The 24638-nt window shown below is 59.3% G+C and overlaps 1 protein-coding gene across 4 annotated transcripts, besides 6 other annotated features; it reads left to right on the forward strand.

Annotated features, from left to right (window-relative positions):
• Window positions 1–552: an enhancer, noted in NCBI's record as "H3K27ac-H3K4me1 hESC enhancer chr17:42835997-42836548 (GRCh37/hg19 assembly coordinates)". NCBI's record gives its function as "activates a minimal SCP1, AML or CMV promoter by ChIP-STARR-seq in naive H9 embryonic stem cells {active_cell/tissue: H9 hESC(naive)}" and the evidence as "EXISTENCE:reporter gene assay evidence [ECO:0000049][PMID:30033119]".
• ADAM11 (ADAM metallopeptidase domain 11) lies at window positions 360–23218 on the forward strand. Of its 4 annotated transcripts, none has more exons than NM_002390.6 (27): window positions 360–632; window positions 1094–1269; window positions 11090–11166; window positions 11354–11420; window positions 12956–13041; window positions 13128–13203; window positions 13639–13705; window positions 13771–13838; window positions 14229–14303; window positions 14386–14457; window positions 14633–14799; window positions 15667–15751; window positions 15864–15954; window positions 16070–16121; window positions 16584–16683; window positions 16766–16837; window positions 16956–17048; window positions 17499–17579; window positions 18117–18167; window positions 18271–18334; window positions 18538–18637; window positions 18854–18973; window positions 19067–19235; window positions 19324–19438; window positions 19524–19614; window positions 20594–20611; window positions 21111–23218. In NM_002390.6, exons 1-27 carry the CDS (start codon window positions 572–574, stop codon window positions 21124–21126), a joined length of 2310 nt encoding a protein of 769 aa, NP_002381.2. In that variant the 5' UTR covers window positions 360–571; the 3' UTR covers window positions 21127–23218. The 4 variants fall into 4 exon arrangements, with proteins under 4 accessions (NP_002381.2, NP_001305862.1, XP_005257430.1 ...); NM_001318933.2 differs by having other exon boundaries at window positions 13771–13834; XM_005257373.5 differs by having other exon boundaries at window positions 20594–23218.
• Window positions 17263–17582: a silencer, noted in NCBI's record as "silent region_8600". NCBI's record gives its function as "represses an Ori minimal core promoter by ATAC-STARR-seq in GM12878 lymphoblastoid cells {active_cell/tissue: GM12878}" and the evidence as "EXISTENCE:reporter gene assay evidence [ECO:0000049][PMID:35858748]".
• Window positions 17263–17920: a biological region, named in NCBI's record as "H3K4me1 hESC enhancer GRCh37_chr17:42853416-42853916".
• Window positions 17420–17920: an enhancer, noted in NCBI's record as "H3K4me1 hESC enhancer chr17:42853416-42853916 (GRCh37/hg19 assembly coordinates)". NCBI's record gives its function as "activates a minimal SCP1, AML or CMV promoter by ChIP-STARR-seq in naive H9 embryonic stem cells {active_cell/tissue: H9 hESC(naive)}" and the evidence as "EXISTENCE:reporter gene assay evidence [ECO:0000049][PMID:30033119]".
• Window positions 20015–20856: an enhancer, noted in NCBI's record as "H3K27ac-H3K4me1 hESC enhancer chr17:42856011-42856852 (GRCh37/hg19 assembly coordinates)". NCBI's record gives its function as "activates a minimal SCP1, AML or CMV promoter by ChIP-STARR-seq in naive H9 embryonic stem cells {active_cell/tissue: H9 hESC(naive)}" and the evidence as "EXISTENCE:reporter gene assay evidence [ECO:0000049][PMID:30033119]".
• Window positions 20840–20979: a silencer, noted in NCBI's record as "silent region_8601". NCBI's record gives its function as "represses an Ori minimal core promoter by ATAC-STARR-seq in GM12878 lymphoblastoid cells {active_cell/tissue: GM12878}" and the evidence as "EXISTENCE:reporter gene assay evidence [ECO:0000049][PMID:35858748]".
• Window positions 23219–24638: the final 1420 nt, after the last annotated feature.

Raw genomic sequence — 24638 nt, forward strand, 5'->3', positions numbered from 1 at the left:
ACCACGACAGAGGGGCGAACGTGGGCGCCGCAGCCACGCCCCTGCCCCCGGGCCCCAGACAGGCAGTCGCCGGGTCGACCCCGGGGGTACCCCGTCCCCTGCTTCCCTCCCCTACAAATCTACGAGTCCTCGGAGATGCTCAGGCAGAGGTGGCCGAGGAGAGGCCGCGGGATAAGTACGCGGAGCGCCACCGCCCCGCACCTGCCGAGGAGACTTCGAGGTGCGAGGAGGGACCCCGGGGCGGCGCCTCTTTTGTCCTGCCGCGGCGGCGGCCCGGGCCCTGCGGGGCTGGGGGGGCCGGGGGGCGGCGGGAGAGCGGAGGGCGGGCCCTGGGCTCACGTGCTCGCTGCTCAGCTCTTAACCCGGCCCCGCCGCCCCGCCGGGATGGCCGCGGCCGGAGCGCGCTGAGCCCCGGCGCCGTCCCTGCCGCCCCCACCTCTCCGCGACCCCCGCCCGGCCCCGCGCCCCCGCCCCGGCTCCGCAGCTGGCGCCTCCCCACCCCCGTCCCTGCTCCCGCCCTCCCCGCGCCGCTGGCAGCCGCAGCCCCCGGACCGGGAGGAATGAGCGAGCCATGAGGCTGCTGCGGCGCTGGGCGTTCGCGGCTCTGCTGCTGTCGCTGCTCCCCACGCCCGGTGAGTGACCCCCGCCCGGCCCCGGCGCCCCCTCCCTGCCCCCGCCCCGGGATGTGCGGCGCTTGCTGCTGCAGCCACCTTTTCCTGCAGTGCTCGGGGTGACAGCCGGTCCGGAGCGCGGGAGGGTAGGGGAGCGGGAGAGGAGGGAAGGTGCGTCCACCCACCTGTCCCCAGCTGGCCGGGCCCACCGCGTCCCTGCCCCTGCCGCCGACCGGCCAGCTCTGCAGGTCTCTGCGGGTTTGGGCGGATGGGGGGGCAGTCGTGACGGTTGGGCGGGAGTGAAGCTCCTGGCCCCCTCCCCGCGGGCTCTTGCCTCTGCAGGGCAGCCAGATCCTCCCACCCGGATCGCCCTAGGGCTCCAGGGGCCACACCAGAGTGGGGGATGAGGCATGCCCACCCCATTCCCAAGTCTTCTGCCCCAGGGTGGGCAGCTGCCTGCAGCCATGGCCTTGTTTCCCCAGGTCTTGGGACCCAAGGTCCTGCTGGAGCTCTGCGATGGGGGGGCTTACCCCAGCTGGGAGGCCCAGGAGCCCCTGAGGTCACGGAACCCAGCCGTCTGGTTAGGGAGAGCTCCGGGGGAGAGGTCCGAAAGCAGCAGCTGGACACAAGGGTCCGCCAGGAGCCACCAGGGGGCCCGGTGAGTGGGGCTGGGTGGTGAGGCCAGGGGCTGAAGCAGGCCTCAGAGCCCCAGGAAGCCCACGGGGTAACCAGGGTTGGAGTCCCCCTCAGCAGCTGCCCCGCAGGGTCCCCTTCTGTACAGTGGGCTATCCGGTGGGTGCTGGAGCCCACTGGTGGGGAGCACCAGGCCTGCCCAGCCCCAGGGCCCCCTTCCATTATTGTAGGGTCCCCTGCCCTCAGTGTACAGGGACCACTAATGCCTAGGTCTCAGGTCTGCTTTGGGTCAGCCTTCCAATGGCCCCCTGCTCTGCTCTGGCCAAAGCTAGTTGTTCTGTTCAAAACAGGGCTTGGATGGGGCAAGTTGGGGGCAGGGAGAGGCAGCCCAGATTCCAGTCAGGGATTAGGGCTCTCAGGTTCTCACCACAGCCACCTTAGTGGGCTTTCTTGGAACAACTTAGTGCTTGCTCCTGCCTCAGTTTCCACACAGTGCCCAGATAGGCTTGTTGTTCTTCCTGTCCTGGCTGAAGGTGGGGCCTTGGAAAATAACTTGAGGCCCCAAGCCAGCTCTACCTGCCTGCCCACTGTCCCTTTCAGCTGCCAGGCCCCTCCTGCCTCCCAGAGGAAGGTTAGGCATGAAGGAGATTAATTGCAATTAATAATTAATTAATATCATGTGAATAATAATCACCCAGATGGAATATTCATTCAGCACACCCCAGCGCTCCAAGAGCTGGAGCTGAAAGTGAGCCAGGCCAACAGGGCAGCAGAGGGCAGGTTGGCTGGCAAAGGCCCGGCACAAACAGGAGGTATAGGGGGGAGACCCAGAAGAGGGGTACAACTGAGGCCTGGGAAGTTTTGGCAGCGGGGAGTGGTGGGAGGTAAATTGGGCTGGGCAGAGGGAGGAAGGAGGGAAACGGAGGCTAACATTACGGACATCTGTCAGACTGGCATCTGGCCCTGCCTAATGTACTTGGTTAAAAGCCCTTAAGGGAGGGGAGCAGAGGGGGATGCGGGGTGGTGCAGGGGTGGAGAATACTGATGAAATGGATGGAGCAGGAAGGGAGCATGCATAATAGATGGACCATCACTCAGGGCCGTGCAGAGGGGCAGGGGGAGGGGGCTAATGGTCCAAGGCCCGCAGTCACTGGGGGTGGGGTGGGGGGTGGAAGCTGCCTTCAGCAACTGCCCAGGCTCCCTGGGAGGTGTGCAGTCCTAGGGCCGGGGATGGGGTGTCCTGGCCGCTGAGTCTGGCTGTCTTGCCTGGTGTCACTCCCTACCTGTGAACTGTGCACCCCGTGGTTACACTGTGGGGGAACTGATGGTCTGCCCGACTGCTGGGACTCTGGCTTATGCTTTAAGGGATGTGCAGATTGAGTCATGGAGGGATGTCACCGCAGGGAAAGGGGACAGAGTTGAGGAAAAGCCTGGAGTCAGGTAGGGATGAAAAGTCAGGTATTCCAACTGGGCAGGTTGCTCCTTCAGCCTGACCCTTTCCGAACAGAGACAGAGGTGGCAAAGGGTAGGAGGTTCTGGGCTGTGGTGGTGTCTGCAGCTGCGTGGGAAGGTCAGGATGGGTGCAGTTGAACTGCTTGGGTTGGGGGTCTCTGTGTTGTTCTGCAGGTGAGTGAGTGCATGTGAGGTGTGTATGTGATCCACCGATTCCAGATACTTCTGAGGGGTGTCTGAGAGCCTGCGGGGAGGGAATGGAGTTCCATGGATCTGCCGGGCAGTGATTATCTCCAATTTTGGGGTCTCTCTGAGACTGAGACTTCCTAGGGCCCTCATGGCGACCTCCTCAAGGGACTTGTTTGGGGCCCTCTCTTATCTGTGCCTCAGTTTCCCCTGAGGTACCAAAGCTGTGGACTTCTATGGGCCACTCTGCCAAGCTTTGTATGCACTCTACATCACTTATTTCTCACAACTCTGTAAGGCTTGTAACTTTTGTGTGTTTATGTGTGTGTGTGATGGAGTTTTGCTCTTGTTGCCCAGGCTGGAGTGCAATGGCGTGATCTCTGCTCACCCTAACCTCCACCTCCCGGGTTCAAGCAATTCTACTGCCTCAGCCTCCCGAGTAGCTGGGATTACAGACGTGCGCCACCATGCCTGGCTAATTTTTTGTATTTTTAGTAGAGATGGGGTTTCTCCATGTTGCTCAGGCTGGTCTCGAACTTCCGACCTCAGGTGATCTGCCCACCTCGGCCTCCCAAAGTGCTGGGATTACAAGCGTGAGCCACTGCGCCTGGCAGCTTGTAACTTTTGTCAGCCCCATTTTACAGATGAGCAAACTGAGGCTCAGAGGGATGACGTAAATTGCCCAAAGTCAATCAGATCTTAAGCAGTGGAGGTGGGAGTTTTCTCCACACCAGGGCACTTCCCAGTTCTGCCTCCAGGGCTCTCTGGATTTGGGTCCAGGAGGCAGTCTCCCAACTCTGCCCAGAGCAAGGAGACAAAAAGACACATCCAGAATATTTTCCCCAACGGTAAGGAGATATGGCAAACCCTCAATCTCCTGCCTGGCATTTCTCCCTGGGGTTAGAGCGCTTTTGGCCTCAGAGCCATGGGGTCTGATGGTGGATCCAGTGTGGACTTGAGCCCGTGTGTGTCCTAGCCAGAAGTACCCCAGCTGGGCATTGCTTGGTTTTTGCCTTAACTTACTGCCCTGGTTTGGAACTTCAAGCCTAGCCGGTGTGGAGCTGGCAGCAAGATCTCTGGTCATGTGTCGAGTCCAGGGGCACATGCTGGCTGGCAGGGCCTGGGGCGCTGAGCTGCTGTGGCTTTGGGCAGGTCGTTTGACTTTTCTGAGCCCCAGTTTCCTGTTCCCTAAAATCAGGATGGTAACATATCTCAGTCCCACCTACTACCAGGAGGTGGTGATGGGAAAGAGCTTTACGTGCTGAGGATTCCTGGCTTGACAGGGGCAAGGGTGGGGGTGCGACTGGGACAGGGGAAGAGATATAGCGGCCAAGAAGGAATTAGAAGCTGGAGAAATTAGACTGGGTGCATTGGCTCACAGTGGCCAAGGTCAGGGGATTGCTTGAGACCAGGAGTTTGAGACTAGCCTGGGCACCATAGTGAGACTCCCGTCTCTACCAAAAAAAAAAAAAAAAATTACCCAAGCATGGTGCTGCGCACCTGTAGTCCCAGCTACTTGGGAGGCTGAGGCTGCAGGATCGCTTGAGTCCAAGAGTTCAAGGCTGCAGTGAGCTATGGTTGCACCACTGCACTCCAACCTAGGCTACAGAGTGAGATCCTGTCTCACACAATACAACAACAACAACAAAAGAACAAGGTAGAGAAATTACAATTATTTACTAGGCCTTTTTGGGGCAGGCACTCCTTTACGTGGAATTATTTAATCTTCATCACAGCTCCCAGAGGTGGGGCTGTTATTCCCATCTCGCAGATGGAGAAACAGGCACAGAGAGGCAACGTAACTGCCCCAAGTGACACAGCACTTGAGCACAGAGTCAAGACTGATCCTCAAAGCAGGGCTCTCACCCAGCACGCTGCCACCTCTTGCTCAGGGCTGAAGGGAAAAGAGACACAGATGCACCCTTGCCCTCTCTTTGCTACTGCACTCAACCCCCTCACTTCTGTCCAGCCTGGAAGCAGGCTAGGCCTGAGGCCCAGAGAAGTGAGGGAGCTTCTGGGAGTGCAGAAACCTGTGGTTCCAGGGAGCCTGCAGCCGAGGGGTGGTGCAGGTCAGGCAAGACTACCGTGTCCAGTTGGGCTGGTTGTTCACTCCACTAGGGTGACTGGGCAAGCAGTAAGTGAGCTGAATGCAATCTGTGGGCTTATGGGGCCACATGCGTTCTGACTTGCAGGGGGATCTTGTTTTCTTTCTTTTTTTTTTTTTAAGACAGAGTCTCACTCTGTCACCCAGGCTGGAGTGCAGCAGCATGATCTCGGCTCACTGCAGCCTCTGCCTCCCGGGTTCAAGTGATTCTTGTGCCTCAGCCTCCCGAGTAGCTGGGATTACAGGCGTGCACCACCACTTCCAGCTAATTTTTGTATTTTTAGTAGAGATGGGGTTTCACCATGCTGGCCAAACTGGTCTCGAACTCCTGATCTCAAGTGATCCACCCGCCTTGGCCTCCCAAAGTGCTGGAATTACAGGTGTGAGCCACCTCACCCGGTCTTGGGACCCCTTTTTCTAATTTGCACCAAGCTGCTGTATGGGTTATGCCTGCCCCTGGGGAGACCCAGACTCCTTGGGAACAAGGAGAGGGCAGGACATGGGGAGGTGACTAGGGTCAGGGGTGAGGAGGTCGCAGACCTGGTACATAGAAGCTCATCTGAGCCAGCTAGGGGAGGGGTGCCTCAGTCTCTGGGCTAAGCTCTTGTGAGAGATGCCCAGGCCAGCATTTACTGGAAGCACCACCCCAGAAGCCCTCCACGGTGGGTGTGTGCTGCAACAGTGTTTGTGTTTTCGTCCTGCAGAAAGGCGGAGGGCAGTTGAGTAAGGCTCACCCCCAGCTCTTGAAGATGGGAGTCATGGACATGGTGCCACAGGGGGGCCAGGGTCTGTGCCTGGGGCCCTGGTACCCCACTAGAGCCAAGGCCATGCTATAGTCTGTGTGGCTGAAGTTGCGGCTCTCTCCTGGGTTGGGGCAGATGGCTAGAAGCCAGGGCTAGGATTTTGCTGGGCCCAGCTTGTTCCCAGGGGTGAGGTGGGGGCATGAACTGAGCTCTGCCATGCCAGAGAGTTCAGCAGGCTTAGTTTTGGTGTGAGAGGCTGCACGCTGTGGCTTTGAGGTGGCACAGCCTTAGTGCAGGTCCTGCTCCCCTGCTTCTGACTGTGTGACCTGAGCCAGTCATGCAGCCCCCTGAACACCACCTTCCTCATTCATAAAATGGGGATGCTCATAGTCTCCACCTCTCAGGCTGCTGCGAGGACTTGAGATGATGAATGTCAGGTGTCCAGCCCAAGATCTGGCAGAAGAGCCGATGGTCAACATCTCTGAGTGTCCGGACAGGGTGCTGGGCCCTGGTGCTGGCATGAGGGCTGGGTGTCAGAAACAGGAGCCAGGATATTTAGGGGTTACTTGTCAGGCTCGGGGTGGGGTCCAGGGGAGAAACCACATGAGCAGGACTCTGGCCTGTGGGCTTGGCCTCACCCAAGCAACCTCCTGGCTGCCTAGAGGAACCCAGCTGTCCAGAGTCTGTCCCCAGAGGGACTGATGACCCTGTAAAAGGAGGTGGCTCTGTTCTCAAAAATGTAGGTCAAATCCCATCATTGGAAATTTGTCTGGCTGTTCTCATTGCCTGGGAATCCCGCTGCCCTCTTGATAAATGGAGCACCCAACACATTGCCGGGGGTGGGTGGGGGGAGCTGGCAGGTGGGTGGGTGGGTGGGGGGTTTCTCCCAGCTGGGACATACTCCCAGGTGGAGCTCCTGCCTCTCTGGCTCCTCCCCACTCTGCAGCCACCTGGCCCACAAGGTGGTGGTGTCTCCTTGCGGGAGGGGATTCCAGAAAGATGTCCTCAGGTGAGACACCTGACAGGTAAATCACACCATCCACCCAGATCTGGAGCATAAGGCTACCATTCTGGCATGTCCCTGTCACAGTAGGTGATCCAAAGGAGTCGTTTATGCAGTTCCTCAAAGCCCTGTTCAGCTGGAACATTTACACTTCCTTCTCGTTATTATTATTATTGACCCTTATGATACCACATTTAAAAGGGCTTTTATTTAATCCTCACAGCAATCCTGGTTTTTCTTTTCTTTTCTCTTTTTTTTTTTTTTTTTTTTTTTGTAGAGACAGAGTGTTTTGCTGTGTTGCCCAGGCTGGAGTGCAGTGGCACGATCTTGGCTCACTGCAACCTCCGCCTCCCGGGTTCAAGCAATTCCCCTGCCTCAGCCTCTCGAGTAACTGGGATTACAGGCACATGCCACCACACCCGGCTAATTTCTTTTTTGTTTGAGTAGAGACAGGGTTTCACCATGTTACCCAGGCTGGTCTCAAACTCCTGAGCTCAGGCAATCCGCCCACCTTGGCCTCCTAGGATTACAGGCGTAAGCCACTGCTCCTGGCCCAACAATTCTGTTTTACCGAGGGGAAAACTGAGGCCGGGGGCATGAAGCAGCTTATCTCAGGCCTTGCGATACATTTCCATTCAACGTGAGTGTTGAGCTCGTGGGCAGGGAAAAAAAGCAGGCATCGCCCTTGCTCCAGGGAACTAAAGGTCGCCCACCTGAAAAGCCAAATCAGTGATCAAAGAAGTGTATGTCTACTGTGTGCTTAAAGGCCCAGAGGTGGAGGGCGCCAGAGCCCTGCATGGGTTGGCAGGTGCAGGCTGTGCAGATGAGGGTGGGGAGGAGAGGGAGGTCCGGGCAGGAGTTCCGGGTCAGCGTGTGAAGGGCCGTGTCTGGAAGTGGTGGGGAGCAATGGTCTCCCTTCTCGAATTTCCTGGAGAATTTGAGAATCCTAAGGCTCCTTAGTCTCTCCCTTCCTAAGACTGTGTGTCTGTAGGTCTGGGGCAGAGCCCAGGCACCTGTATTTGTGCTTCTGGGTCTTTGGCAGAATCTTTGCCTTTTTCTGTCTGCACCCCGCATCTGGTACAGAGAGGACAAGGCACAGTCGCTCTGAAGCAGATGTCTAGGAGAGTGGGTGGGCCAGCCAGAGAGGAGCCTCGGGTGGAAGGGGTGGTCACCCCTGCCAGGCAGTCACAGCTGCTGTGGCGACACGAACTCCAGCCCCAGGGTGAGATCCAGCCCCACACCTCCCCAGCCACCCAGCCATGACCCTGGGCCAGTCACCTCCAGGTGTCTCCCTGAGCCTCATCCTGGCATTTGTAAAATGAGGACCAGACAGCCTGGGCACGTTGAGATCAAATGAGCTGGAGCATGTGAGAGCCTGGGCAGCCGGGGGAGCAAGAGACAAGTGCAGGGCACAGGGTCAGCTGAGGGCTGGCATGACCTCAAGACCAAAGGCCCCTCCCACCAGGGATGGAGGGACAATGGGATGAGGTCAGAGGCAGGGCAGGGGCAGAAAGCAGGGCCAGGCAGGGAGCACAGTTTGGCTTTGATAGAGCACTGGCTTAGGCTGGACATGGAGGCTCAAGTCTGTAATCCTAGCACTTTGGGAGGCTGAGGCGGGAGGATGGTCTGAGCCCAGGAGTTCAAGATCAGCCTGGGCAACACAGTGAGATCCCATCTCTTAAAAAATTAATTAATTAATTTTAAAAAAAGAACATTCGCTGGGCATGGTGGCTCACATTTGCAATCCCAGCACTTTGGGATGCCAAGGGTGGATCACAAGGTCAGGAGTTCAAGACAAGCCTGGCCAAGATGGTGAAACCCTGTCTCTACTAAAAATACAAAAAAATTAGCCGGGCGTGGTGGTAGGCACCTACAATCCCAGCTCCTCGGGAGGCTGAGGCAGAGAATTGCTTGAACTCAGGAGGCAGAGGTTGCAGTGAGCTGAGATTGCACCACTGCACTACAGCCTGGGTGATAGAGTGAGACTCCATCTCAAAAAAAAAAAAAAAAAAAAAAAGAACATTGGCCTAATGCTGGGCGGGCTTGGGGCGGTCTTGGGACTCTGTGCCAGCAGGAGTCCCCTCCCCACTCCCCAGGTGCCAGGGCCACAGAGATTCTGGGGACTGAGATAGGTTTGTGTGACCCATCTCTTCCCTCAGACCAGGGACAGGGTTGTGTCCCCGCATGGGGCCAGGCCAGGCAAACACCCCTTGGTATGTGGTCTCTTTCTTTCTCCTACCGCCTTTGGGGGCTCTCCCAGCCCCCTCCTGGGCCACCTCCAGCCAGGCCCAGCCCCCAGCCCCAGCTGCCCCGGCACTGCCCCAGGGGCTTATCTGGTCTGAGCCCTGTGTCCTGCTGGGCTCAGCTGCACCAGATGGGGAAGTGGTGAGAGCTCAGCAGGTGGCAGGAGGTGGTGGACAAGGAGGCTCTTAAGGTATCTGGCCTTCATCCCCCATCAGCTGGGGCTTTCCCCAGAGTGGGGACTGGCTTGGCCTCTGCAGAGAGGAAGCAGGCTTGATGGGGTGGCTCGCAGACCTCCTGAGTGAGGGAGATTCTGTTGGTGCCAGGGCAGACTCTGCTGGAATCTCCAGGCCCAGGATGGTACCAATACGTAGCCAACCTCCTGGCCTCGCATCTGGGCTCATCTGACCATTTTCAGTGGGAAAATCTGAGGCACAGAGAGGTTGCTGGGTCATCCCTGGGGCTGCACGGTCAGAGAGCAGCATTGGGGCAAGGGGTCTGGCAGGCTGCTCCTCTAGGCAGCTGTGGAGGGGGCTGGCATAGGGGCTTGTTGGTGGGAGGCAGATAGAACAAGCAGGAACAGTCCCAGGGGCAGGGGAAGGCCAGGATGGTTCAGGCCATGGGCCGGGAAGAGGATGTGGCGACTCCTTGTCCTTGACTTTCTATTTCGGGCTGATCAATGCTCTAGGGGCTCAGGATGGAATTGGGAGCCTTGGTCAGCCTGGAATAGGGTGAGTCGGTGTCCTTGGGGCGCAAAGGTCAGCCCACCCAGGCCCTGGCCGTTGGTGCCCCCCTTGCTCCTCTCCCAGGACCTCTCATGGACACTGGGCCCTCTTCCATTTTACTCCACCTTTGGGGTGAGACAGCCCTAGAAGCAGACTCCCTAGCTTCACCACTTTTTAGCTGTGTGACCTTGGGCAAGTTAGTCAGCCCCACTGTGCCTGTCTCCTTTCAGATGGGAATGGCAGTAATCTATCCCATAGGGTTGCTGCGAAGATCAAACAGGGCAATACTCTTAGTGTTTAGACCAGGGCCCGGCACACAAGAAGTGCTCGGTAAAGATTAGCAGTGATGAGGTGGTTGAGGAGGAAGCCGACAAGGCACAGGCTATGGATTTCATGACCACAACCTTGGGGCTCTCTTCCTTCCTGCAACCTGCCGTCCCCACCACAAAGGCCAGGCAGCGAACAAAAGCCTCCCATTTGCAGGGCAGAGTGGGTGACCCTCATGTTGGGGTCTGGAGTCAGTCTTCTGGAATGAACAAGGGGTGTGGAGAAGGCCCCAGCCCTGAGTCCTCTCAGCCCTTCCTGGGCCCTGCGGTTGCTGTGATCCAGGCGTCCTCAAGCGCCCAGGCCTGGGGGGCCGCCATCTTGCTCTGGCGTGGTGTGTTGCTGTGGCAACCTGGAGCCTCCAGCCCCACTGCACTCTGAAAAATTTATCAGGAAAACTTCCATGTTTAAAAATTAACCATGGGATTGAAATATTAAAGATGAGCTGCTTTGGGTGAGGCAGAGGGCAATGGATTTGGGGGTAGAGGAGCCAAGTCCTTACTCCCAACAGGATGGCACCTGCCCGTCGCCCAGTTTCCAGGGGCCTAGCCATCCATTCCCACCCATTCGCCCCTGTCCGAGGCCTCCTATGTAGATGGAGGCTGGGGCCGGGGTAGGGGGACAGGCAGCGAGGGTCCTGCCTCCCATTTCCTGTTTGTCCCTTTCCCATGATACTCCTGGGGCCCTCCCGTTACTCTGCCTGATGGTGGGGTGCCCCTCACCAGCCAGGAGGGCATAATGAGGCAGAGGGCTGGCCGGGCTGCCCCTCTCCATCCCAGCTGCACCTGCAGCCCAGCCCCAGAGAGGATGCACAGGTGCCCGGGCCCAGAGGGCAGAAAGGGGGCTGTGCCCAGGGCTGAGCACTCCTGCCTCTGCCCACTAGTAAAGGAGCAGGGTCGTGGAGGAAGAGGAGCTTGGACAAAGCATCTTGCCCCCAAATCAATGGTCCCCTCAGCTGCTAGGGCTGGCCACCCCTTCCCCAGGGCTACTGTTGCTCCCGGGATCCCCCCGACTCCCACCTTCAGGCCTCCCTGGGTTGACTCCCCCTCTGCCCTCCCCCCACCCAGCCTGTCCATCTGGCCCAGGTGAGTTTCGTCATCCCAGCCTTCAACTCAAACTTCACCCTGGACCTGGAGCTGAACCAGTGAGTGTGGCCTTGAGCCCAAGAGGAAGGGCAGTGGTGGGGCGGGGGAGACATGGCTAGGGCCTGGCTGCTGGGGGTCTGGGGGTTGGGCCTGGGCAGAGGGGACCTGGGTCCTGACCTGAGGCGAGCCTCAAGCCCGACCTCACCTCGCCCGTGACCCCCCTTCCTGCTGCCCCCTCTGTCTCAGCCACCTCCTCTCCTCGCAATACGTGGAGCGCCACTTCAGCCGGGAGGGGACAACCCAGCACAGCACCGTGAGTGCCACTGCAGGGGACCGGGGCCGGGGATGGAAGGGAGGTGCTGTTTCTGTGGTTCTGTGGTCACAGGTGTAGGGACAGGTGGCCACTGGAGATGGGGTCCTGGGCCTGGCCCCTCAGCACCTTCCCTCTCTCCCGACCCAGGAGGCTCTGAGGGTGGACAGTGGGCAGCTTGAGTGCATAGGGCCCTGAAGTCCCCTCACTTGGCCCCAGAGCTCTGACCCCCAGCCAGCCCACGTGGGGCCTACAGGGACACTCGTTCCGAGCAGGCTGCCAGGAATCCCCCTCTCCAGACTCTTCTGAGAGGGACAGCTGAGGAAAGGCCCTTCTTACTCAATATCAAGGCCCCGAAAATCCCAGCTGCCTGGGACACTAGGGTCCCAGCCCTGAAGGCTCTAGAGCCTGAAAATGAATGAGTGTCTATAAATAGCCTGTCTCCCCCCCCCCCGCCCCCACTGCCTGTTCAGTAACTGGAGCACAAGTAATTCTGCAGGAGGCAGAGCTGGAGCGGGAGGGTGCCACTGGTCCCCCCAGCCCCAACCCATGAGTCTGGCCAGGAGGACACATGCTGCCCATCACTCCTCAGCCAACCACAGGCCCAGGGGTGTCCTGGGAGGCAGTGCATGAGGTTGTGTGTGATGTTAGGGGCGAGTACATGATTAAATGAGGTAATATATGGTTAGTGCCAGAGCAGTGCTGGGTACATGGTAGGTGCTAAATAAATGTTGCCTGTTATTCTCAAAGGAGTCTGATCCCTTCCCCAGCCCCAGCAAATGGCTAAGAACCCTTGCTGTACGCTGGGCTCCTATAATCCCATCACTGGGAGGCTGAGGTGGGCGGATCACGTGAGGTCAGGAGTTTGAGATCAGCCTGGCCAACATGGTGAAACACCATCTCTACTAAAAATACAAAATTAACCAGGCATGGTGGTGCATGCCTGTAATCCCAGCTACTTGGGAGGCTGAGGCAGAAGAATTGTTTGAACCCGGGAGGCGGAGGTTGCAGTGAGCTGAGATCATGCCATTGCTCTCCAGCCTGGGCAACAAGAGCGAAACTCCGTCTCAAAAAATAAATAAATAAATAAATACAAAAATTAGCTATGTGTGGTGGCACATGCCTGTAATCCCAGCTACTCGGGAGGCTGAGGCTAAGGCATGAGAATGGCTTGAACCCAGGAGGCAGAGGGTGCAGTGAGCCAAGATCACACCACTGCACTCCAGCTTGAGCGACAGCAAGACCCTGTCTCAAAAAAAAAAAAAAAAAACCATTGCTACAGTCCAGCTTCCTCATTTTATAGATGACGTGAAGGAGGCCCAGAGGTTCCTAACCCCAGAGGGCTAGGAACTTGCCCAGGGTGGCACGGCAAATTAGGAGCACCAGCCATCTAGAAACAGGCTCCAGAGCCCCAGGCATACCCAGGGATTGTGGCCACCTGCACACAGGGCAGCTTCAGTGTCCCCCAAAAAGCCTTGAGGCCCATTGGCTGCCCCCGGCCTCATGCCAGCGTTCTGCTCACTGTTCTGCTCCTTCAGGGGGCTGGAGACCACTGCTACTACCAGGGGAAGCTCCGGGGGAACCCGCACTCCTTCGCCGCCCTCTCCACCTGCCAGGGGCTGCAGTGAGTATGGGGAGGGGCCGGGCAGCTGGGAGAAGCCTCTGGCCCAGGCCTGGGGACGGAGGGGAGCTGCGCCTCTCTCTCCACAGTGGGGTCTTCTCTGATGGGAACTTGACTTACATCGTGGAGCCCCAAGAGGTGGCTGGACCTTGGGGAGCCCCTCAGGTAAGCCCCACACAACCCCTTGCCATCCTCTCTGGTGGCCCTGCCAAGCTTGTCCCAACAGCTGTTGCTGCCACCTCTTCCTCCTCCGGCTCCTCCCTCAGTAACCCCAGCCTCACTGCCCTCTTCAGTGACCCCAGCTCTGGTTCCCTCCCTCCTGTGCCCCAGCTCCCCCTGTGCCCCCAGCTCCAATGTCCCATCTGTCCCATAAGTGACCTCCCATTGGGCTCCAATGTCCTTTGCCCCTGTCTCTCAGGGTGCCCCCAGGTCTTGACCCCGGAATCTGAGCATCTGGGAGATCAGATCCGACATGGGAGCTGTGGCCAGTTCTGGGTCACCCCAGGGTGGGGTGGAGGCGAGGGCTGGATCTGGCCCCCGCCAAGTGGGCCTGGAGCAGGCCCAGTTGGCACCCCAAGAACTAATTTCCCCTCATTGCAGGGACCCCTTCCCCACCTCATTTACCGGACCCCTCTCCTCCCAGATCCCCTCGGATGCAGGGAACCAGGTAAGGGAGGGAAGGGGGGGTGGGGAGGGGCCGGCTGTGCCCCCCTCACCTGCCCCTCCCCACAGGCTGCCTGTTTGCTGTGCCTGCCCAGTCGGCTCCTCCAAACCGGCCGAGGCTGAGAAGGAAAAGGCAGGTACGGGGGCCCGCACAGACCTCGGGCTGCAGAGACCTCGGGCTGCAGAGAGACCTCAGGCCGTGGCCCAGAGCAGGAGGGCACCCTCATCTATGGCTGGGGCGAAGGAAGGCTCAGATGGATGTGGCTGGGGGCCAGGGACCGTGTCTGGGAGAAGCCCCCACCCCTTCCCTAATGCTGGCATCTACAGAGGCCCCATCCTGGGCAAACCGAGGCTGCCTGCCCTCATTCCAAAGCTGAGGAAGGACAGGACCCTCTGCCAGTGGGGAGCTGGCACTGTCCCTGGCTGGAGTCCAGACCCCCCCATCCCCACCGAGTCTGTTCCTGGCTTGGCCATGAGATCAGTCAGACATGGAAGGGACTGATTCCAAGTGCCCACCCACCCCCCAGGTCCGCCGGGGCCACCCTACAGTGCACAGTGAAACCAAGTATGTGGAGCTAATTGTGATCAACGACCACCAGCTGGTGAGTGCCAGGGCAGGGACAGGGCGTGACACTGGGAGGCCCCTGAGGAGCCTGGCCCTCCTCCCATTCTTCTCTCTCCCAGTTCGAGCAGATGCGACAGTCGGTGGTCCTCACCAGCAACTTTGCCAAGTCCGTGGTGAACCTGGCCGATGTGGTAAGCAGCTCTCCCTCCCTCCCTTCCCTCCTCCTCATGCCCCCCACCCCACCACACACATTAGGGGGCACTGTCAGCCCCTGGCTCCCACTTCCTGGAGAGAACAGACAGGCCCTCCTCCAGCCCTGGCCCCAACACCCACTCCCACCCTCCAGCCCCCTCATCTTCTCCCCAGATATACAAGGAGCAGCTCAACACTCGCATCGTCCTGGTTGCCATGGAAACATGGGCAGATGGGGACAAGATCCAGGTGCAGGATGACCTCCTGGAGACCCTGGCCCGGCTCATGGTCTACCGACGGGAGGGTCTGCCTGAGCCCAGTGATGCCACCCACCTCTTCTCGTGAGTCCCCCACCCTGCACCTCCTGCCAGCCTCTGCTAGTTGCTACAGTGCTTGGGATTACTTAACACCTGCCCTGTGCTGGCTGCTCCTCTCAGAGTCTGGGGACTGGGCTCACCTTGCACCTGCCACCTACCCCCAGCCACATGCAACAGCTGGGCATCATCCCCTGAATCTGAGGTTGATGCCCTTGTCTTAGCCCTGGTGGTCCTCTTCTGCCTCTCACCTCCCCTTAGTTCTGTCTTTCCCCTTTCAAACTGTCCCAGCATCCCTTCCTCAGGGACCCAGTGCCCTAGTAGGGAAAAAAATCTAATAAAAGGGCCTTGCAACTAGAGATGGTCTACTGGGAGCCTCTCCTTTGCCTTATGGGCAAAAGAACCCAAGGAGGGGCCAGGCGTGGTGGCTCATGCCTGTAATCTCAGCACTTTGGGAGGCCAAGGCGGGTAGATCATTTCAGGTTACGAGTTTAAGACCAGCCTGGCCAACATGGTGAAACCCCATCTCAAAATACAAAAATTAGCCAGGCGTGGTGGTGTGCACCTGTAGTCCCAGCTACTCGGGAGGCTGAGGCAGGAGAATCGTTTGAACCCAGGAGGTGGAGATTGCAGTGAGCTGAGATGGTGCCACTGCACTCCAACCTGGACCACAAGAGTGAAACTCTGTCTCAAAAGAAAAAAGAAAAAGAAAGAAAAAAAAGAACCCAAGGAGGGGGGGAAGGGTCTTGCCTGGGGTCACCAAGGCTGATGTAAAGGGCCAGGCTCACCTCCTGAGGAAGGACTCTAGTGTGAGGGGCTCCCCAAGGCCCCACCACCACCCGGGGAGCCACAGGGGAGGGCAGGAGGCCATCCTGACAGCGCACTCCCTTCCAGGGGCAGGACCTTCCAGAGCACGAGCAGCGGGGCAGCCTACGTGGGGGGCATATGCTCCCTGTCCCACGGCGGGGGTGTGAACGAGGTGAGCAGTGGGGGGACATGGCTGGGGTGGCGGCTGAGGGAAAGGGGCTTCAGGGGCACGACGTGCCTGTTGGAAGATGTAGACATCTGTGCCCCATCTTCCCCACCCCCAGTACGGCAACATGGGGGCGATGGCCGTGACCCTTGCCCAGACGCTGGGACAGAACCTGGGCATGATGTGGAACAAACACCGGAGCTCGGCAGGTATCCTCCCCCAGAGGCCCCCGTGTGGCCCACGCCCAGCAGCTCTGGAACGGGAGGGTGACAGTGGGAGGGGTGGTCCTTGGCCTCCCTCATATCCGCCTGGCTCACCCCTCAGGGGACTGCAAGTGTCCAGACATCTGGCTGGGCTGCATCATGGAGGACACTGGGTGAGTTCTTGGGGACAAACCGGGGGAAGGTCTTGGGCGAGGGGAGTCTTAGAGCGAGCATTGTTTGGCAGTCTGGACCAGGGGGCTCAAGAGGCCCAGCTCACAGAACCACTCAGGATCCCAAGAAGCCCAGTTTTCCGCAAACACTGCCCCGGGAGACCCAGATTTCCCTGCTGGGACACCAAAACCGGCCAGGCTGCAGTGCGCATCGTGGCCACTGGGCGCCGCCCAAGCCTCGCATGGAGACACCTTCCCTCCAGCGCGGCTGCGAGTCCCCAGGTTCAGCGGAGGGGATGGGAGCGACAGGGACAGGCGGGAGGATTCTGGTGCAATCCCGGGGCAGATCCTCCGCCTCCTCGCGATGGTGACGAAGTCCCCCAGTGTACCCCCTCCCCAGCCTTGAGAGGGGTGAGGGTGGGTTGGAGGGGAGCAGCCAGCAGCACCTCCCCTCGCCCTATCCAGGTTCTACCTGCCCCGCAAGTTCTCGCGCTGTAGCATCGACGAGTACAACCAGTTTCTGCAGGAGGGTGGTGGCAGCTGCCTCTTCAACAAGCCCCTCAAGGTACCAGCCCCGCGGCGGGGAGCATGGGAGCGGGCCCTGGGCGGGGTCCGGGCCAGACTCCCGACCTGTCCTCCCGGTCCAGCTCCTGGACCCCCCAGAGTGCGGGAACGGCTTCGTGGAGGCAGGGGAGGAGTGCGACTGCGGCTCGGTGCAGGTGAGCGGTGGTGCGGGCGCCAGGTGGGGAACCGGGATGCGGGGGTGGGCACGAGGGAGCGTCTGAGTGGGAGGATTAGGGCTCGCCCGCCTCCTTCCCCTCCTCCCGCGTCCCTCAGGAGTGCAGCCGCGCAGGTGGCAACTGCTGCAAGAAATGCACCCTGACTCACGACGCCATGTGCAGCGACGGGCTCTGCTGTCGCCGCTGCAAGGTAAGCAGGACCGGCCGGGAGGCGGGGCCAGGACGCAGGAGGAGCGATTGGAGGCCTTCATATAAGGGGTGGGAGCTAGGGAGGGAAGCGGAGCCTTCGGGGACGAAGGCCTCTGGGGCAGGGCTTGATGCGAAGACAGCGCCAATGGGGAGCAAGGGGCGGGGCTGAAGGATGTTGAAGGCGGGGCTACGAGGAGCGGGAAGGGAAGGCTGCCCAGAATCAAGGAGGGGCGGGAAGGTGGGCGGGCTTGGGGGCGGTGCTGAGTGCGCTGGGAGCGAGGTGGGGAGCGTTCAAGAGGTGGTGGGAGCAGGGAAATAAGAACAGGCCTGAAACGGGGCCCTGGGGAGCTGGAGGGCCCGGGGATGTGGGGGTCCAGAGAGCGAGGGGCCTGGGGAGGGCAGGGCCGAGGCATCCATCCTGCCTGACTCGAGGAGCGCGTCTCTTCCCTAGTACGAACCACGGGGTGTGTCCTGCCGAGAGGCCGTGAACGAGTGCGACATCGCGGAGACCTGCACCGGGGACTCTAGCCAGGTCCGCCCGGCCCCGCCGTCTTGTGGAGCCCTGGGCGAGGCAACCCCTACCCTTGTCGATTTGGTTTTCCCGGACGAGTGCTCAGCACTCCCCTCCTCTCCACAGCTGGCATCGACCTCCACTGATCAGACTGTTTTCTTATCTGAGAAAGGGGTTCTTCATGCTCCTGGCCTTGTTCCTTCAATCATTAAACCAGAATGTATCGTCTGGCTGGTATTCCCAGCGCCTGGCCCGGTGCCTGGTGTAGGTTAGGGATCAGAGTAGACGATAATATTAGTTAACATCTATTACAACCTAATTACATGCCAGGCATTTATCTCCCAGCCCTACGAGGGAGGGAGGCTGGAGCGGCTCTGGGGCTTGCAAATCCGTGTGGTCTGGGTCCAGAACCAGACAGATCGCTTGTCCTAGGCGTGGAAGAGCCCTGTGGCATGAGCCCCCAATGGGGGGCACTTGGTACCCCAGCATTCCTCCCTGGGGCAGCCCTCAGCTCCAGTCCTGGGACTGCTCCGCTCAACCCCACCCCTCTCTCCACAGTGCCCGCCTAACCTGCACAAGCTGGACGGTTACTACTGTGACCATGAGCAGGTATGATGGCTGCCCCCTGAGCCTGGGATTCAGGGCAGTCTCTTGTCTCCACTCTGACCACTCAGCATCTCCATCCCTTGCCTCTTAATTCTTGGACTCTCAGGGCCGCTGCTACGGAGGTCGCTGCAAAACCCGGGACCGGCAGTGCCAGGTTCTTTGGGGCCATGGTGAGTCTGGCTAGGGCTGGGAGTGGGGACTCCGGAGGACCCAGAGCTGAGAAGCTGGGGAGAGTGGGTTCCAGCTGAACAGGCCCCCAAGTGTGTAGCTCCCCAGGATCTCAGGGACCCAGGCAGAGTGTGGGAGATGCAGGCCTGAGGTCTTGGGGTGGGTCCTGGGGCGCGTGGGGTCACTTGGCATCCTCTCCCCACAGCGGCTGCTGATCGCTTCTGCTACGAGAAGCTGAATGTGGAGGGGACGGAGCGTGGGAGCTGTGGGCGCAAGGGATCTGGCTGGGTCCAGTGCAGTAAGCAGTGAGTACTGAGGCTCCCAGAGGGCCTCTCAGCTCCAGGGCAGGTGTGAGACTTTTCAGAGATGGGGCAGCAGGTTCTCCCAGGAGGAGCCTGTCAGTCCCAATGGGCGGGCACGTGGCAAATGAGGTGGCAGGGTGCAGGGTGAGGGCAGATTAGAGTTCAGTAGTTGAGTCTGAGGTCAAACTTGGGGCTCACTGTCTCTATATGCCCCAACAGGGACGTGCTGTGTGGCTTCCTCCTCTGTGTCAACATCTCTGGAGCTCCTCGGCTAGGGGACCTGGTGGGAGACATCAGTAGTGTCACCTTCTACCACCAGGGCAAGGAGCTGGACTGCAGGTGCTGGCCAGGACCAAGACTAGGGAGGGGAGGTTGCAGCTGTGCTGGGGGTTAGGAGACAGGGGGCTGAGGCTGGCTGTGTCACTTCCCCAGGGGAGGCCACGTGCAGCTGGCGGACGGCTCTGACCTGAGCTATGTGGAGGATGGCACAGCCTGCGGGCCTAACATGTTGTGCCTGGACCATCGCTGCCTGCCAGCTTCTGCCTTCAACTTCAGCACCTGCCCCGGCAGTGGGGAGCGCCGGATTTGCTCCCACCACGGGGTGACTGCCTGGAGCCTGGGATGGCGGGAGAAGCTTACAAGAGGGGACAGGCCCCTGCTCACCTCTCCTGGCCCTGCCCTGCCTCTAGGTCTGCAGCAATGAAGGGAAGTGCATCTGTCAGCCAGACTGGACAGGCAAAGACTGCAGTATCCATAACCCCCTGCCCACGTCCCCACCCACGGGGGAGACGGAGAGATATAAAGGTGAGGCTGGAGCTGGCCGAGGGGGGTCTGTCTGTCCTGCTCTCTATGCCTGTCCTTGCCAGCTAAGCCCTGCCATCCTCCCCAGGTCCCAGCGGCACCAACATCATCATTGGCTCCATTGCTGGGGCTGTCCTGGTTGCAGCCATCGTCCTGGGCGGCACGGGCTGGGGATTTAAGTAAGAGACACACACACCCTGTGCCCCCTGGCATCCTTGAGGGGGGATCAGAATCCCTACTGGTGGAGCTGAGGGGGCCCTCCCTGAAAGCCCAACTGAACCAGAGCTCACACGTCATAGGTCCAAGTAGCCTGCAGGGCTTAACATTTAGAAACTAGGAGATTTTAGGCTAGATGAGGTGGCTCACGCCTGTAATCCCAGCACTTTGGGAGGCCAAGGCAGGCGGATCACCTGAGGTCAGGAATTCAAGACCAGTCTGGCCAACATGGTGAAACCCCGTCTCTATTAAAAATACAAAAATTAGCCAGCCATGGTGGTGCGCACCTGTAATCCCAGCTACTTGCGAGGCTGAGGCAGAGAATTGCTTGAACCGGGGAGGTGGAGGTTGCAGTGAGCTGAGATCGCACCATTGCACTCCAGCCTGGGTGACAGAGCAAGACTGCGTCAAAAAAAAAAAAAAAAAAAAAAAAAGAAAGAAAGAGAGAAAGAAAAGAAAAGAGAAAAGAAATCAGGAGATTTTACACTAGCAATTCGGATTTCCAGCTCTGGAAACATGAAAAGGTTGAGCCCCAGCGTGCCTCTAAGCATCCCCAAATAGCCACAGAGTGGAGCTGGGCAGGGGCCACCCAAGCCAGGCATGTGTCCTCCAGTCTCCAGTCCCCACCCAGCCTATAATGCTTTGTGCGTGTCTAAGTTTGGGGTCCTTGTGCTGGTCTAACCCCCTTAATGTGCAGAGGAGGAACCCATGGCCCAAGGTCACATGATTGAGTTAGTAGCAGAGTCAGAGCTGGAACCGGGACGCATTTTTGTGGGTGCCCTGGGTAATTCTCCCTGGCCCTTACATTAGTGTCCAGGCCCCGGGGACCCCGGCCCCGCTCTGGGGCAAGGGGTCGCATGGCAGCCAAAGGCCCCTCCCTGAGAGAAGCAAAAGGTCAGATGTCTCCTTTTCCTCTCCCCTTCCACCATCCTCCCCCTGCAGAAACATTCGCCGAGGAAGGTACGACCCGACCCAGCAGGGGGCAGTGTGATGCCGGCCACGTCATCCCTCCCGCTGTCCTTGTCTCCTCCATCTCATTCGTCACCCCGCGTTCTGTTGATGGGGAGCGGGGGCTGATTCCCCCACCCCTGCTGCCAGGCTGTCCCGGCAGGGGTGGGAGAGCCTCGCTCAGGGAAGAAGGTCCCAGCTGCCCTCGCCCTCGCCCGCTCAGGCCACGTCCTTCTCGACTGCCCTGCTGCGGCCAGGCCCTCCCCTGCCACCAGGTGGAACTGGAGCTGCGCCCCTGGCAGTCCCCATCCCCGGGAGGGCCCTCCCTGTGCGTCCCATCTGTTTTGTCTTCCATATCACCACTGTCTGACCTCCCGCAGATCCCTTCCCTGGCCAGCCTGTGACTTGCCGCCTGCCTCCAGGGCCCAGCACTGAGCTCCGGGGCCCTGCTGGGGGGCTCTCCCCGTGGCCCCTGCTCACGTCCTCCCCTGATGCCCCCTCTCCGTTCCAGGTCCGGAGGGGCCTAAGTGCCACCCTCCTCCCTCCAAGCCTGGCACCCACCGTCTCGGCCCTGAACCACGAGGCTGCCCCCATCCAGCCACGGAGGGAGGCACCATGCAAATGTCTTCCAGGTCCAAACCCTTCAACTCCTGGCTCCGCAGGGGTTTGGGTGGGGGCTGTGGCCCTGCCCTTGGCACCACCAGGGTGGACCAGGCCTGGAGGGCACTTCCTCCACAGTCCCCCACCCACCTCCTGCGGCTCAGCCTTGCACACCCACTGCCCCGTGTGAATGTAGCTTCCACCTCATGGATTGCCACAGCTCAACTCGGGGGCGCCTGGAGGGATGCCCCCAGGCAGCCACCAGTGGACCTAGCCTGGATGGCCCCTCCTTGCAACCAGGCAGCTGAGACCAGGGTCTTACCTCTCTGGGACCTAGGGGGACGGGGCTGACATCTACATTTTTTAAAACTGAATCTTAATCGATGAATGTAAACTCGGGGGTGCTGGGGCCAGGGCAGATGTGGGGATGTTTTGACATTTACAGGAGGGCCCGGAGAAACTGAGGTATGGCCATGCCCTAGACCCTCCCCAAGGATGACCACACCCGAAGTCCTGTCACTGAGCACAGTCAGGGGCTGGGCATCCCAGCTTGCCCCCGCTTAGCCCCGCTGAGCTTGGAGGAAGTATGAGTGCTGATTCAAACCAAAGCTGCCTGTGCCATGCCCAAGGCCTAGGTTATGGGTACGGCAACCACATGTCCCAGATCGTCTCCAATTCGAAAACAACCGTCCTGCTGTCCCTGTCAGGACACATGGATTTTGGCAGGGCGGGGGGGGTTCTAGAAAATATAGTTCCTATAATAAAATGGCACCTTCCCCCTTTCAAGAAGGGTGATTCTGGGGCCGACTCAGGGTTTAGGTGCCCCCTGGTGTGGCCTAGATGTCCCCACCTGGGCCATCTTTCTGGGGAGGACTCTCCCAGGTAGGGAAGGCCAGAGGTGGCCCAGTGCCTGGAGGGTTAGGGTCTCTGCCTGGGATATGCAAGAGGAAGTAGGAAAGGGAGGTCTCATGGATGATCCTAGGCTGCTAGAAGTCCTTAAGGCCCCATCTAGTCCATTCCACTCCCTACCCCCATTCCAGAGCCGAGTAGTAAGTTTACAGATGTTTCCCCCATTACGTACCCCCACCCATCCCTGCTGCAGCGAGCCTGAGAGCCAGGTAGAGCCAGGCACAGCTCCTCAGTCTTCTCACACAGTCCTGCCGGTGGCCTTCCCTCATGACCCTTGCTTGGGAGGGTGGAGCACTGGCTCCTTGACCCTAAAAGGTAGCTGGCAGGGGCAAGATGGGGGCCAGCTACCTAATGGATGAAAGCCACAAGTGAATACAGTTCTTGTCACCAGGGTTGCCCTGCCCTCACTCGGCAGGGAGTTCTGACACCCCAGGGCCCGTGAGCTACCTGCTTGAGCCCCTGTTTCTGGGGCACCTTCGAGGAGGCGTTGTGGAGGGCATCGCCCCCTGTTTATTCACAACACCCTCAGGGGCAAACAGGCCTGGGACCCGCTGACACCATTTTGGGTAGCTGGATGCACCCGACAGCAGTGGGGTCCACACACTGAGCTCCAGCTGGCACTGCCCACTCAAGGGCTGAGTGGAGGGGCCCCTCCGGCCAGCTCTGCTCCACCAGCCCTGCAAGCTGATGCAGGGCGGGGGAAGGGCTGGGTGTTGCACTATTGCTGCGCTGCCTTAAGGCATCTGTCCTCTGGTGGTGCACCCGTGCACACAGGTACAGTGCATCTGGGCACAGCTTTTGGATCCACACCTCTGCACAAGTGTGAATACCTCTGCACATATGGGCGTATCTGTGTGTGCTCGTGTATATGGGGTGGGGAACATGAGACTTCCTGTGACCAGTCCACCCTGGCTCCCAGCTGTCTGTATCCTCCTGCCCCGCCCTGGCGAGTGCCTACCCTGGCAGAACCCAGGGAGGAGTGGAGGCTGCCTCTGCCTGGGCCTCCACACAGCATCCTGTACATACGCCACCTGGGCTGGGGGTGGGGAGGCAGGGCCAGGAGCATCGATTAAAGATCACATCCTGGGGCTTCCAGGGAGCTCACACCAACCTTGCGTTTCTCTCCTGTCTGTGAATGGCCATGCTGTGACTTGTCCCCTCTGGCTCAGGAGGGAGCATGATAACTGGGGTGCTGGAGGCGGGAAGGGAGCGCCCAGGACCAGCTCCATTCATGGTGAGGAAACAGGGTGGAGGCCTGGCCCTCCCGCTTCCGCTTCCTCGCTTCCTCGGCTCTTCCAACAAAGACAGTTGTGCCCCTCCTCTGGCTCCAGCAAAGCAGGAGGCCAGGCGAGTAGGAAAGCATTTTCCCAAAAGTCTGGAGACCCAACTTCCCTTTTATGGCTGAAGCCAAAGAAGCCTCTCCTCACCTCCCAAAAGATTCCAGAACGCTGGACAAAACCATTAGCCTGTCTGGTCCCAGGGCACCGTGTTCCTGGGCTCTTTTCCCACCCCTGTGCTCTCTGGCCGAGCCTGGGGCAGGAGGGGACTGAGCAAGGCTAGTGCTGGGAGTCCCTCCCCTGGCTGGGGCTGCGTCTGAGCCAGGAGCCTGTAATGATTATTCCTGTCTTCCCCTGCAGAGTGCTTGGGCCTGGAGGTATTCGCAGACTTGGGGGGCCGGGAGGAAGAACTGGGGGAGGATCCATCGGGCTCTGGAAGTCCCGCTTGTTAAGGGAAAAGATAAAAGAAGCAGTTGGGGGCAGGGAAACAAATGAAAGGCTAGAAAAAGATGGAGAAAGAAATAGCAGCACCAAGCAGGGGCCTGGGAAGAATTGGCAGCTAGAAGCTTTGGGATCATAGCCCCCCATTCCTGAACAGGTAGGGTTCCCAAGGCCACCTCGGATCACATGCCGAAAGAGTAGGACCCAGGGCCACGTTCAGCTTAGATTCCTACTCTGGCATCTGGTCGCCGCAGGACACTGGGTAACATCTAACTCCAGTCTCTCCTGCAGCAGAAGGTCAGCTTCTTCCTATTCAGAGTGCAGGGGGAAAAAAGCAAGAATCATTCTCAAACCGATCAGTCACAAACTGAAGTCTAGCTGTGCCCTTGTCTTCCTTGCTCTAGGCTGAATAACATTATTTTTAACTTTCTTTTTGCTTCTGCCTCTCAACTCCTCCATGCCCATGCTTAACCCTTTCTCAGTTCCCAGTTCCCAGTCTATCCGGGTCTGATGTGTGGTTCAGCTGACCCTCCAGATAGGGAAAGGGTGGCTTCTGGCAGATGAATGGCAGGAAGGCAGAGAGGGCACAGGTGAGGCTCAGCCTTTGTGACTCTCAAAGGTCAGTGTAGGCCGAGCGTGGTGGCTCACGCCTGTAATCCCAACACTTGGGAGGCCAAGGCAGGTGGATCACTTGAAGTCAGGAGTTCGAGACCAGCCTGGCCAACATGGTGAAACCCTGTCTCTACTAAAGATACAAAAATTAGCCAGGTGTGGTGGCGCTTGCCTGCAGTCCCAACTACTTGGGAGGCTGA

The sequence above is a fragment of the Homo sapiens genome, chromosome 17 (assembly GCF_000001405.40).
Source record: "Homo sapiens chromosome 17, GRCh38.p14 Primary Assembly".
Classification (NCBI taxonomy): Eukaryota; Metazoa; Chordata; class Mammalia; order Primates; family Hominidae; genus Homo; species Homo sapiens.